Source organism: Homo sapiens, chromosome 5 (genome assembly GCF_000001405.40).
Source record: "Homo sapiens chromosome 5, GRCh38.p14 Primary Assembly".
Taxonomy (NCBI): domain Eukaryota; kingdom Metazoa; phylum Chordata; class Mammalia; order Primates; family Hominidae; genus Homo; species Homo sapiens.
In genome coordinates, this window is record NC_000005.10 from 179,676,864 (window position 1) to 179,690,889 (window position 14,026).

The 14,026-nt window shown below is 50.9% G+C and overlaps 2 protein-coding genes across 3 annotated transcripts in view, besides 3 other annotated features; one reads left to right on the top strand and one right to left on the bottom strand.

Annotated features, from left to right (window-relative positions):
- Positions 1,373–1,988: an enhancer, noted in NCBI's record as "H3K27ac-H3K4me1 hESC enhancer chr5:179105237-179105852 (GRCh37/hg19 assembly coordinates)". NCBI's record gives its function as "activates a minimal SCP1, AML or CMV promoter by ChIP-STARR-seq in naive H9 embryonic stem cells {active_cell/tissue: H9 hESC(naive)}" and the evidence as "EXISTENCE:reporter gene assay evidence [ECO:0000049][PMID:30033119]".
- Positions 1,373–2,135: a biological region, named in NCBI's record as "H3K27ac-H3K4me1 hESC enhancer GRCh37_chr5:179105237-179105852".
- CBY3 (chibby family member 3) lies at positions 1,697–4,171 on the bottom strand. 2 transcript variants are annotated; one of them, XM_047417524.1, is made up of 2 exons: positions 4,130–4,171; positions 1,697–2,402 (listed from the first exon to the last, which is right to left on the bottom strand). In XM_047417524.1, the coding sequence occupies exon 2, from the start codon at positions 2,155–2,157 to the stop codon at positions 1,720–1,722; it is 438 nt and encodes a 145-aa protein (XP_047273480.1). In that variant the 5' UTR covers positions 2,158–2,402; positions 4,130–4,171; the 3' UTR covers positions 1,697–1,719. The 2 variants fall into 2 exon arrangements, with proteins under 2 accessions (XP_047273480.1, NP_001157916.1); NM_001164444.2 differs by having other exon boundaries at positions 4,010–4,171.
- The window catches only part of CANX (calnexin), a 52,986-nt gene continuing 40,752 nt past the window's right edge, over positions 1,793–14,026 (top strand). Inside the window, exon 1 of the mRNA XM_011534665.4 lies at positions 1,793–1,914. The gene's annotated coding sequence lies outside the window, so the exon portion shown is untranslated. The remainder of the gene's footprint in view (positions 1,915–14,026) is intronic.
- Positions 1,876–2,135: an enhancer, noted in NCBI's record as "active region_23755". NCBI's record gives its function as "activates an Ori minimal core promoter by ATAC-STARR-seq in GM12878 lymphoblastoid cells {active_cell/tissue: GM12878}" and the evidence as "EXISTENCE:reporter gene assay evidence [ECO:0000049][PMID:35858748]".

Genomic DNA, 14,026 nt, shown 5'->3' on the forward strand with positions numbered 1-14,026 from the left:
AGGTTCAGGTGATTCTCCCACCTCAGCCTCCAGGAGTAGCTGAGACTACAGGCATGCGCCACCACACCCGGCTAATTTTTTTGTATTTTGGTAGGGATGGAGTTTCACCATGTTGCCCAGGTTGGTCTCGAACTCCTGAGCTCAGGCAATCTGCCCACCTCAGCCTCCCAAAGTGCTAGGCTTACAGGCACCCGACACCGCATCTGGCCAATTTTTGGTATTTTTAGTAGAGACATGGTTTCACCTTGTTGGTCAGGATGGCCTTTTAACTCCTGACCTCGTGATAGGCCCGCCTCGACCTCTCAAAGTGCTGGGATTACAAGCGTGAGCCACCACGCCTGGCCCCAGGAAATCTGGATTTTTAATGTGGTATCTCCAAATTCTGAAACTTTGGCAACTAATGCAATTTTTAGAAGACTGTGGGCCAGGCAGACTGCATTCTATGGAGGTAGAAAAGGAGGCCTGAGGCCGGGCTCGGTGGCTCACGCCTGTAATCCCAGCACTTTGGGAGGCCGAGGCGGGCAGATCACGAGATTAGGAGTTTGAGACCAGCCTGGCCAACATGGTGAAACCCCATCTCTACTAAAAATATAAAAATTAGCCGGGCGTGGTGGCAGCGCCTGTAGTCCCAGCTACTCGGGAGGCTGAGGCAGAAGAATCGTTTGAACCCGCGAGGTGGAGGTTGCAGTGAGCCGAGATCGTGCCCCTGCACGGCAGCCTGGGCGGCAGAGCGCGACTGTCTCAAAAACAAACAAACAAAAAATTAGCCGGGCGTGGTGGCGCATGCCTGTAATCCAGCTACTTGGGAGGCTGAGGCAGGAGAGTCGCTTGAACCCAGGAGGCGGAGGTTGAGGTGAGCCGAGATCGCGCCATTGCACTCCAGCCTGGGCAACAAGAGCTAAACTCCGTCTCAAAAAGAAAAGAAAAGAAAAGAAAAGGAGGCCTGAGCCCGGCGCGGTGGCTCACGCCTGTAATCCCACGTTTGGGAGGCTGAGGTGGGAGGACTGCTTGAGCCCGGAAGCTCGAGGTTGCAGTGAGCCATCATCGCGCCACTGCACTCCAGCCTGGGTGACAAGAGCGAGACCCCGTGTTTAAAAATAAGTTTAAAAAAAAAAAAAAAAAAAAAAAAAGGCCTGTAACAGAGACGCGACTCTCCAAAATGCCACACAGGCAAGTGGGGGCCGCACAGCCCATGGTTTCCAGAAAGCTTCTCTTGGGAATGTAAAATAACACTTACCCTGGGACTTCTAGTTTCTAAACCTCCTGAGCCTAGAGGCCCTGAAGACGGACCAAGTGCAAAGTCCCCGACCCCATACACCGTCCTCCGCTCCCTCCGCACCACACCCTTCATTCCCTGAGCACCGCGGTTCCTCCGTCTCCGGGACTTCGCCCTCCGTTACCTGGATGGCCTGCAAGGCCATTACCCGCCACTCCACCCTATCTGGGCCATGTCGGCTGCAAGCTTGGCTTCCACTCCGCACTCCCGGAGAGCCACGCGCAGACCCTCCTCCACGGCCCCATCACACCCTCCCAAGACAGGCAGCTTAGGCTTGCGTCCCCTGCCGACACCCAGCACCGAGGGGCAGTCCCCGAGGCCACGCAGACCTCCCCAACCCACACGCACAGACCGACCCGGGGAACCGCGGGAGCCAGTCCCGCGCTGGGGCAGTGGCAGACCCGAGGCGTGAGGCGCGCATGCGTAGCGCGGCCTTTATTGCGTCACTGCGAGTCCAGAGCGCACGGCTGGATCATGAGCACGCCCGCGCTGGCGCCTGCGCGCTTGCGCATCTTCCTCTGCCCGGCGCGCGCCGCAGCCGTCGGGATCACCTCGGGGTTGCGCTGCTTCTCCAGCAAGTGCATGCGCGCCATGGTCTCAGTCAGCATGTCTATGAGCAGTTCCTGCTGCAGCTTCAGGTAGTTGTTCTCCTCCAGCAACACTTGGCTTTTGGACCGCTGCACCTGCGCCTTCCAGCCCCAGGCGGTCCGCGAGAGCAGCGGCGACCGCGTCCTCGCCAGCTGGCTCTCAGTGGTCCACCGCCCGCCGCGGAACACGAAGGCCTGGTTGCTGAGGCGCATGCACGGCGCGCCGTAGGCGAGGCCCAGCTCGGCCTGGCGCGTGTTGTGGTCCAGCAGGTAGAAGGTGGACAGGGAGGGCATGCGGCGCAGTGGCGGCCGCCGTGGCGAGAAGGGCCGCGAGATGTGATCGGCCCAAAACTGCTGCAGCGTCTGCCACAGGCGGCTGGCATGGCTCGTAGCCGAGCACTCGAAGGTTGCCAGGGCGTGGACCTTGTAGGGCACGCAGGTGCTCGAAGGGGAGCCTCGGGAGCGCTGGCGACTCGTGCTGCGCTCTTGTCTCGGGAGCCCGGATGTCCAGAATGATGAAGGCGAGCCAGGGGGCGCTGCTGGGAGACAAGAGTCCGGGTGAGCAGCGTGCTTGGTACAGGCCGCCTCTCAAACCGCGAGGCCGGCGGACATGTCTTAGCCCTGCAGCTACGGCTGCGGCTGTGTCTCACCAGCTGCTGGCCACCGAGGAGCCCGTCGTTCCACGCTGCACAGGCAGCAGTCTCACCTAAACCATCTTCCCCAAAGACCACTGAGGATCAGGCCCTGGGATACATATGCAGATGAAGGACGGGAGGAGGGCCTTGTTCTGAGTTGCAGCTGGAAGGGTGAGGGGTAGGGAATGGTAGCAAGACAAGTAAGTAGGTACTTAAAGGAGGAGTAGGACTTTGCCAGGTGGGTTGAGGATGGAAAATGGAGAACTTCTAGGCAGAGGGAAGAGCCGAGCAGGGCTTTCTTTTTCTTTTTTTTTGAGACTGAGTCTCGCTGTCGTTGCCCGAGCTGGAGTGCAATTGCGCGATCTTGGCTCACTGCAACCTCCACCTCCCGGGTTCCAGCAGTTCTCCTGCCTCAGCCTCTTGAGTAGCTGAGATTACAGGCGCCTGCCATCACCCCCACCTGATTTTTGTATTTTTAGTGAAGACGGGGTTTCACCATGTTGGCCAGGCTGGTCTCGAACTCCTGACCTCAGGTGATCCACCCAACTCGGCCTCCCAAAGTGCCCGGATTACAGGCATGAGTCACTGCGCCTGGCCTTTTTTTTTTTTTTTTTTTTTTTTTTGTATTTTTAGTAGAAATGGGGTTTCACCTTATTGGCCAGGCTGGTCTCGAACTCCGGACCTCAGGTGATCTGCCCGCCTCAGCGCCAAAGTGCTGGGATTACAGGTGTGAGCCACTGTACCCGGCAGGGCAGGACTTTCATATTTCAGATGTGAACACGAGCTTGGATAGGATTGGTGCTGGGAAGAGCAGAAGAGGAAGCTGGGAAGGTGGACCAGTGCACTATGTGAAGGTGCCCTACAGGCAGGCTCGGAAGCTTAGACTTCCTTTTGTGGGTAAGAGGGAACTGCTGAAGGATTAGAAAGCCGGGGTTAGATCTGGATTCTGAAAGCAATCTGGGAGGATATCTAGCATAGCCAACAGCATTATTGCCCTCATCATTCAGTCATTTGATAGACTTGAACTAGCATCTGCTCTGTGCCAGACTCTGGTCTTGGGAAGGGGACCTGAAACAGCCTCTGCCTGCCCTCAAGGTGCTCCTAATCCAGCTTGGAAGACAGATGCGTGTATAGACCACAGTCCAGTGTGTTCACTGACATCCTGGGGTGTGTGCCATGGGCTAGACCTATGCATAGGGCTCAAAGTATCAGGGATTGTGCACACTAAACATGACTTTTATTCCAAACAAACTGTGCCCTCAGGAAGTCCAAAGTCCAGATAACAGACAAGTCCCATTTTGCTCACTTCTCTCTGCACCCCCCACCCCTGCCCAGTAAGTGCTGATTCTATTATGTGAAAAAGGGAGCTATGTGTTGTTTCTAATTCCTCTTCTGCCCATGGGCAGTGAGAAGAGAAAGAACTAGAGCAGGGTTCCCTCTGTTATGCCTTCGTTAATTCATAATACACTTATCCCTCACATATAGGTGGACAGAGGCTGGATGGTACATACCATCCCCAAGATCTGGTTCAGGGAGATGGTCTCTGGAAGCCCACATCCAGGCCCACCCTTGAGATTGTATCTTCTCGGAGGATGTTTCCCCGTTAGTCCTCACTGTATGTTGTGCCTCACCTGGAAGATGGGGTGGAGTTGCTGAGCTGCTGTCCCAGGGCTAGTCCCATCTCTGACCCACTCAGCTCTTGTCCACCTGCTATGACTCACAATGCCTCCAGGCCAGGCCACCCCAGGACAAGAAGGGGTGCTGACCGCTGAGCTGTCAGATAGACTCTGGGCTCTCCCCTGCATGCATTCAGTGCATCATTGAGCACCTACTGTGTTCTAGGAACAGTTCTAGGGAAGTGAAGAACATATTCCCTCACTGAGCTGTCATTCTTGGCAGGGGAATGAAGGGAGTGATCATAAGCAGAGTCCAAGACAGGAATTTGTTCTAGGGGAACTAACAAGATAGTCTCTCAGGAAGCTAACAGAGCGTGTCATGGGTCAGGTTCCCTAGAAGCAGAGCCTAAGCTGAGCATTCTTGTTCAAGTGAATTATTGGGGAAATGCTCTCAGGAGAAGGGGGTGAGGGAAGCAAGACAGGGCGAGAAAAAGGCTAAGGCTGAGCCAGAGTGTGGTCTCACGTGGAGACTAGCTTCCGCTTGCTCTCATGGGGAACTCTGAGCACAAATGGCACCACAGTTAGGCCTCCTTAAAGCAAGGGAGCCCGTCTTTTGTACCCTCCTTCTACATGTCAGTTATTGGCCAGGGCAGCTGAGAGTTACCAGCCAGCTCCTACAGCACCTATGGGATGGGTGCACCACCAGTGATAGGGATCTCAGTAGGGCGCCAGCTGAGGAGGGAGGAAGATAATAGGATAGATGATGAAAATGAAAGGGCAGACTAGCCAACATGGCAAGACCCCATCTCTACAAAAACAAATTAGCTGGGCGTGGTGGCATGCGACTGTAGTCCCAGCTACTCAAGAGGCTGAGGTGGGAGGATCACCTGAGCCCAAGAGGTGAAAGCTGCAGTGAGCAGTGATTGTGCCACTGCACTCCAGCATGGGCGATAGAGACCCTGTGTTTAAAAAAAAAAAAAAAAAAAAGAGGGCCAGGCGCGATGTTTCATGCCTGTAAATCCCAGCACTTTGGGAGGGGAAGGTGGGTGGATCACCTGAAGTCAGAAGCTCGAGAACTGCCTGACCAACATGGTGAAACTCCGTGTCTACTAAAAATAGAAAAAATTAGCCGGGTGTGGTGGCGGGTGCCTGTAATCTCAGCTACTCAGGAGTCTGAGGCAGGAGAATTGCTTGAACCTGGGAGGCAGAGGTTGCAATGAGCGAAGATTGTGCCACTGCACTCCAACCTGGGCAACAAGAGCGAAACTCCATCTCAAAAAAAAAAAAAAGGAATGATTAAATTAATAAGAATATCCAGGCCGGGCACGGTGGCTCACGCCTGTAATCCCAGCACTTTGGGAGGCTGAGGCAGGCGGATCATGAGGTCAGGAGATCGAGATCATCCTGGCTAACATGGTGAAACCCTGTCTCTAATAAAAATACAAAAAATTGGCCGGGTGCAGTGGCTCACGCCTGTAATCCCAGCACCTTGGGAGGCCGAGGCAGGCAAATCACCTGAGGTTGGGAGTTTGAGACCAGCGTGACCAACATGGAGAAACACCATCTCTTCTCAAAATACAAAATTAGCCGGGCATGGTGGTGTATGCCTGTAATCCTAGCTACTTGGGAGGCTGAGGCAGGAGAATCGCTTGAACCCAGGAGGCAGAGGTTGCAGTTAGCCGAGATCACACCACTGTACTCCAGCCTGGGTGACAGAGCGAGACTCTGTCTCAAAAAAAAAAAAAAAAAAACCCTAATTCTGATACGTACAGTGAAGAAAACAAACCAGGGAAATACAGAAAGTGATTTTGGGACAGGGTGAGGAGTAGGAAGTAATTTAGATGTGGTGCTCGGTGAAGGCCCTTGACATTCTTGCTAAAACCTGAACAATAAGGAGACCCCAATCCCTTGAAGACCTGGGGGTAGAGGAGGGAAGTGGCTGGGCATGTTTGAAGGACACGTGCCACGTGTGCGGACAGTGGAAGGAAATGACGTCAGTCCTACCTACTAAGCCCACCCACCTGACTGCAAGGGACAGACCCAGATCCACAGGAGCTCACAAGCTGGGGCAGAGCCCGGTGGTGGTGCCACCTCCTAGGAAACTTCTGTAATAGTTTTATTGAGGTATAAGTGACAAAATCAACTACATTTATTTATTTATTTATTTTTGAGACGGAGTCTCGCTCTGTCGCACAGGCTGGAGTGCAGTGGCGCTACCTCAGCTCACTGCGACCTCCACTTCGAGGTTCACACCATTCTCCTGCCTCAGCCTCTCAAGTAGCTGGGACTACAGGCACCCGCCACCATGCCTGGCTAATTTTTTGTATTTTTTTTTTTAGTAGAGATGGGGTTTCACCGTGTTGGCCAGGATGGTCTCGATCTCCTGACCTTGTGATCCGCCCACCTCAGCCTCCCAAAGTGCTGGGATTACAGGTGTGAGCCACCGCGCCCGGCCAACTACATATATTTATAATGTATAATGTGAAGTATTTCGATAATTTGTTATGTGAAATCATTCCCAAAATCAAGATAATGTATCCATCTGGAGGTATCCATTACCTTTTTTTCTTTTTTTGAGAGGAGTCTCACTTTGTTGCCCAGACTGGAGTGCAGTGGTATGATCTTAGCTCACTGCAACCTCTGCCTCCTGGGTTCAAGTGATTCTCCTGTCTCAGCCTCCCAAGTAGCTGGGATTACAGGTGCCTGCCACCACACCCAGCTAATTTTTGTATTTTTAGTAGAGATGGGGTTTCACCATATTCACCAGGCTGGTTTCAAACTCCTGGCCTCAAGTGATCCATCTGCCTCGGCCTCCCAAACTGCTGGAATTACAGGTGTGAGCCACCGCGCCCAGCCTCAGTATAGATTTTTTTTGGCATTGGCTTCTCGCCGCATAATTATTTTAAGATTTATCCATGTTGTTGCATTTATTAACAGTTCATTGCTTTTTATTGCTGAGTAGTATTTCATTGTATGGAAACACCACACAATTTGTTTTTCCATTCAGCTGTTGATGCACATTTGGGTTGTTTCCAGTTTGGGGGCTATTGCAAATAAAACTGCTCTGAACATTTTTGCTCATCTTTGTGTGGACATATGCTTTCATTTCTCTTAAGTAAACACCTAGGAATAGAATGACTGTGTCATATGGCAGGTGCATGTTTACCTTTTTATTAAGCCACTAACAGTGAGTGAAAGTTTCTGTTTCTCTGTATCCTGGCCAACACTTGGTTTGGTAAACCTTCATTTTTAAAAAATTCGCTTAATTAAAGGTGGTGGTGGCGTTTTTGAGACGGGGTCTTACCGTGGTGCCTAGGCTGGTCTCAGACTCCTGGGCTCAAGGGATCCTCCCACCTGAGCCTCCCAAAGTGCTAGGATTACAGGCAGGAGCCACAGGGCCCAGCTAGTAAGCCTTTTTTTTTTTTTTTTTCAGCTCACTGCAAGCTCCACCTCCCGGGTTCACACCATTCTCCTTCCTTAGCCTCCTGAGTAGCTGGGACTACAGGTGCCCGCCACCACGCCCGGCTAATTTTTTTGTATTTTTAGTAGAGACGGGGTTTCACTGTGTTAGCCAGGATGGTCTTGATCTCCTGACCCCATGATCCACCCACCTCGGCCTCCCAAAGTGCTGAGATTACAGGCTTGAGCCACCGTGCCCGGCCAAGCCTTTTTAATTTTAGCCATAGTGGTAGCGTGTCTAAATTGTGGGGTTTTTGCTGTTGTTTTGTTGTTGTTTTAAATTTTTAACAGCAAGCTCATCCTTAATAAATTTATTTTACTTATTTATTTATTTTTTGAGATGGAGTTTCACTTTTGTTGCCCAGGCTGGAGTGCAATAGCATGATCTCAGCTCACTGCAACCTTCACCTCCTGGGTTCAAGCAATTCTCCTGCCTCAGCCTCCTAAGTGGGATTACAGGCGTGTGCCACCACACCTGGCTAATTTTGTATTTTTTTTTTTTTTTTTTTTTTTTTTTTTTACTAGAGACAGGGTTTTCACCATGTTGGCCCTGCCGGTCTTGAACTCCCGACCTCAAGTGATCCATCTGCCTCTACCTCCCAAAGTGCTGGGATTACAGGCTTGAGCCACTGTGCCCGGCCTTAATAAATCTATCTATTTATTTACTTATTTAATTTTTGGAGGCAGAGTCTCGCCCTGTCACCCAGGCTGGAGCGCAGTGGCGCAACCTCGGGTCACTGCAACCTCCGCCTCCTGGGTTCAAGCGATTCTTCTGCCTCAGCCTCCTGAGTACTTGGGATTACAGGCACACGCCACCACATCTGGCTAATTTTTTTGTTTATTTGTGTTTTTTTTGAGATGGAGTTTCACTCTTGTTGCCCAGGCTGAAGTGCAGTGGTGCAATCTTGGCTCACTGCAACCTCCACCTCAGCCTCCCGTGTAGCTGGGATTACAAGCATGTGCCACCATGCCTGGCTAATTTTGTATTTTTAGTAGAGACGGTGTTTCTCTATGTTGGTCAGGCTGGTCTTGAACTCCTGACCTCAGGTGATCTGCCCACCTCGGCCTCCCAAAGTGCTGGGATTACAGGCGTGAGCCACCGCGCCCAGCTTTTTTTTTTTTTTTTTTTTTTTTTGAGATGGAGTTTCGCTCTTGTTGCCCAGGCTGGAGTGCAGTGGCGTGATCTCGGCTCACTGAAACCTCTGCCTGCTGGGTTCAAGAGATACTCCTGCCTCAGCCTCCCAAGTAGCTGGGATTACAGGCAGCTGCCACCACGCCCAGCTAATTTTTGTATTTTTAGTAGAGGTGGGGTTTCACCATGTTGGCAAGGCTGGTCTCAAACTCCAGACTTCAGGTGATCCACCTGCCCTGGCCTCCCAAAGTGTTGGAATTATAGGTGTGAGCCACCACGCCCTGCCTAATGTTTGTATTTTTAGTAGAGACAGGGTTTCACCATGTTTGCCAGGCTAGTCTCAAACTCCTGACCTCAGGTTATCTGTCTGCCTCGACCTCCCAGAATGCTGGGATTACAGGCGTGAGTCATCGTGCCCAGCCTCATCCTTAATAAATTGAGGTTTTAATTTGCATTTCTCTAACAGCCAATGCTATTAAGCATCTTTCCATGTGGGTATTTGTTATCTATTTTGATGAAGTGGTTGTTCAAGTCTTTTTTTTTTTTTTGAGACGGAGTCTCGCTCTGTCACCAGGCTGGAGTGCAATGGCTCAATCTTGGCTCACTGCAACCTCCACCTCCCGAGTTCAAGCAATTCTCCTGCCTCAGCCTCCTGCGTAGCTGGGATTACAGGCACGCGCCACCACACCCAGCCAATTTCTGTATTTTTAGTAGAGATGAGGTTTCACCATGTTGGCCAGGCTGGTCTTGAACTCCTGACTTCAAGTGATCTGCCTGCCTCGGCCTCCCAAAGTGCTGGGATTACAGGTGTGAGCCACCAAGCCCGGCCATCTTTTTTTTTTTTTAGTGGTTCAAGTCTTTTTGCCTATTTTAAAAATTGGACTGTTTGTCTTAATGATTGCAGTTTTTCTTGTTGTTATTTTGAGACACGGTCTCACTGTTGCCCAGGCTGGAGTCTATTGGTGGTGTGATCATGGCTCACCACAGCCTTGACCTCCCCAGGCTCCGGTGATCCTCCCATGTAGCTGGGACTGCAGGGAGGCACCACTACACCCTGCTAACTTTTGTATTTTTTAGTGGAGATGGGCTTTTGCCATGTTGCAAAACTCCTGGGCTTGAACTCCTGGGCTCAAGCGTTGTGCCTGCCTCAGCCTCCCAAAGTACTGGGATTACAGGCGTGAGCTACCATGCCTGCTCAAATTGCAGTTTTTGTTTGTTTGTTTCTTTGAGACAGAGCTTTGCTCTTGTTGCCCAGGTTGGGGTGCAATGCACAGTCTCGGCCCACTGCAACTTCCGGCTCCAGGGTTCAAGCAATTCTCCTGCCTCAGCCTCCTGAGTAGCTGGGACTACAGGTGCCTGCCACCATGCCTGGCTAATTTTGTATTTTTAGTAGAGACAGGGTTTTGCCATATTGGTCAGGCTGGTCTTGAACTCCTGACCTCAGGTAATCCGTCTGCCTTGGCCTCCCAAAGGTCTGGGAATACAGGCATGAGCCACTGCACCCGGCCTGCAGTTTTTTTGTTTGTTTGTTTGTTTTTTGAGACATGCCACCATGCCCGGCTACCGCTCTGTCACCCAGGCTGGAGTGCAGTGGCATGATTTTGGCTCACTGCGACCTCCACCTCCCGGGTTCAGGCCATTCTCCTGCCCCAGCCTCCCAAATAGCTGGGACTACAGGCATGCGCCAACACGCCCGGCTAATTTTTTTGTATTTGCAGTAGAGACGGGGTTTCACCGTGTTAGTCAGGATGGTCTCGATCTCCTGGCCTCGTGATCCACCCGCCTCGGCCTCCCAAAGTGCTGGGATGACAGGCGTGAGCCACCGCGCCCGGCCTGTGCTCTGTGTTCTTGTGCTTGGTCTGTTTATCGTTGCACCAATACTGTTGATACCTAGTAATGTAAATCTTCCAATAATATTCTTTAAGATTGCTTTGGCTTTCTAGGTCCTTTGTATTTCCATATAAATTTTAGAATTTGATTGTCAGTGTTCACAAATAAACCCTCATGCTCACTGTTGAAAGCTTTCTCTTCTTGTCATGAAGACACTCAAGAGCTTAAATCAACCCCCAGAAGGTTGTCTGATGGACATGGAATCAGAGCCCAGGAATATTTTAACCAAGCCAGTGATTCATATTCATTCTTTCTCCCTCCACAGTATGTCTATGTTATTAAAGTCAATTTTCAGCCACGCACGGTGGCTCATGCCTGTAATCTCAGCAATTTGGGAGACTGAGGCAGGCAGATCACTTGAGGGCAGGAGTTTGAGATGAGCCTGGCCAACATGGTGAAACCCTGTCTCTACTAAAAATACAAAAAATTAGCTGGGTGTGGTGGCGCACACCTGTGGTCCCAGCTACTTGGGAGGCTGAAGCAGAAGAGTCACTTAAACCCAGGAGGTGGACGTTGCAGTGAGCCAAGATAGTGCCACTGCACTCCAGCTTGGGCAATGGTGCAAGACTCCCTCTCAAAAATAAATAAATAAAGTCAGTATTCTTTTTTTTTTTTTTTAAGATGGAGTGTCGCTCTGTTGCCAGGCTGGAGTGCAGTGGCACGATCTCGGCTCACTGCAACCTCCACCTCCTGGGTTCAAGCGATTCTCTTCCCTCAGCCTCCCGAGTAGCTGGGACTACAGGTTAGCGCCACCACACCCAGCTAATTTTTGTATTTTTAGAGACAGGGTTTCACCATGTTGGCCAGGATGGTCTTGATCTCTTGACCTCAGGATCCGCCTGGCTTAGCCTCCCAAAGTGCTGGGATTACGAGCGTGAGCGACGGTGCCTGGCCTAAGGTCAATTTTTTTTTTTTTTTTTTTTGAGACGGAGTCTCACTCTGTCGCCCAGGCTGGAGCGCAGTGGCACAATCTCGGTTCACTGCAAGCTCTGCCTCCCGGGTTCACGCCATTCTTCTGCCTTAGCCTGCCAACTAGCTGGGAATATAGGTGCCCACCACCACGCGCAGCTCATTTTTTGTATTTTTAGTAGAGACGGGGTCTCACCGTGTTAGCCAGGATGGTCTCGATCTCCTGACCTTGTGATCCACCTGCCTCAGCCTCCCAAAGTGCTGGGATAACAGGCGTGAGCCACTGCGCCCGGCCGCCTAAGGTCAATTTTCATTAGCAATCATGATATTTGGCCAGACATGATGGCTCATGCCTGTAATCCCAGCACTTTGGGAGGCTGAGGCAGGTGGATCTCTTGACCTCAGGAGATCGAAACTAGGCTGGCCAACATGGTGAAACCCCTACTAAAAATACGAAAATTAGCCAGAGTGCTCCAGGGGCTGAGGCAAAAGGATAACTTGAGGCCAGGAGTTTGATGGTGCAGTGAGCCATGATCGTACCACTGCACTCCAGCCTGGACAACAGAGTGAGACACTATCTCAAAAAAACAACAGAAAGAGGCCGGGTGTGGTGGCTCATGCCTGTAATCTCAGCACTTTGGGAGGCCAAGGCGGGTGGATCACTTGAGGTCAGGAGTTCAAGACCAGCCCAGCCAACATGGTGAAACCCCCTCCCTACTAAAAATAAAAATAAAAAATTAGCTGGGCATGGTGGTGTGCGCCTATAATCCCAGCTAATTGGGAAGCTGAGAATCGCTTAAACCCAGGAGGCAGAGGTTGCAGTGAGCAGAGATCGTGCCACAGCAGTCCAGTCTGGGTGACAGAGCTGTCTCAAAAACGACAGCAAGAACAACAATAACAAAAAACCAACGAAAACATACGTCAGACCGATCATAGATGACCACTAGGAATGGTACACAACTTCCCTTATTTCATGGCCTACCAAAAAGAGAAAGCTACAAAACCCAACAAGTTTTTTTTTTTTTTTTTTTTTTTTTGAGACAGAGTTTTGCTCTTGTTGCCCAGGTGGGAGTGTAATGGCGCAATCTTGGCTCACTGCAACTTCTGCTTCCTGGGTTCAAGCGATTCTCCTGTCTCAGCCTCCTGAGTAGCTGGGATTATAGGCGTCCGCCACAATGCTTGGCTAATTTTTTGGTATTTTTAATAGAGACAGGGTTTCACCGTGTTGGCCAGGCTGGTCTCAAACTCCTGACTTCAGCTGATCCGCCCGCCTCGGCCTCCCAAAGTGTTGGGATTACAGGCGTGAGCCACCACACCCGGCCTCTTTTTTTCTTCTTCTTCTTTTTTAAGTTCTTGCCTACTCCTGGAAGTCTTTATTTGATTATTTGAACAGGAAATGTTAGGAGAGATGATGGATAATTCCCACTTAAAATGGATGTTAACTCCTTTCACAAGAAGACCTTGATTTTGAGGACATTTAATGAAGACTTCAGAATTTAAAGATTCACAATTTAAAAAATGGCTCCTGGTTCCTTTGAGGATCCCCATCTCAATGTCACTGAAAAGATGAGGTTTGGAGCCCGTGAGGAAGGGAAGGGTGTGCTACCGGGTCCCAACAGGTCTGAATTGAAGGACATAAGGTTTATTCTGATGGCAGAAAGGAAAGGAGAAGAGCATCTGAAGATTTTTCAGAGTTTTCCACATCACCAGCATTTCTACCACACTGGCTGTGAATCACACTGGGTGTGAATGTCAGTGGGTCTCTTCTGGCAACCAAGAGGAATATTCCCCAAACCAAGGAAGCTAAATCTTGTTTTTCCCCATGGAAATTTCAGTCTGGCTTCTGTGATAGTCTGTTAGTGACATTTGCCCTTCCCTGAAACAACATGGTGTTCTCTGTGCTAATATAGTTTTAAAAAAGAAGTTGGCCAGGCGCAGTGGCTCACGCCTGTAATCCCAGCACTTTGGGAGGCCGAGGCGGGTGGATCACCTGAGGTCAGGAGTTCAAGACCAGCCTGGCCAACATGGTGAAACCCCGTCTGTACTTAAAATACAAAAATTAGCCAGGTGTGGTGGTACGCACCTGTAATCCCAGCTACTTGGGAGGCTGAGGCAGGAGAATCACTTGAACCTGGGAGGCGGAGGTTGCAGTGAGCCAAGATCGCGCCACTGCACTCCAGCCTGGGGGACAAGAGTGAGACTTCATCTCAAAAAAAAAAAAAAAAAAAAAAATCTGAAAAAAGGCTGGGCCCAGTGGCTCACGCCTGTAATCCCAGCACTTTGGGAGGCTCAGGCAGGTGGATCACGAGGTCAGGAGTTGGAGACCAGCCTGACTTACATGGTGGAAGCCGTCTCTACTAAAAATACAAAAATTAGCCGGGCGCGGTGGCATGCGCCTGTAATCCCAGCTACTTGGGAGGCTGAGACATGATAGTCACTTGAATCCAGGAGGCAGAGCTTGCAGTGAGCCGTGATCATGCCACTGCATTCCAGCCTGGGCGACAGAGTGAGACTCTCTCAAA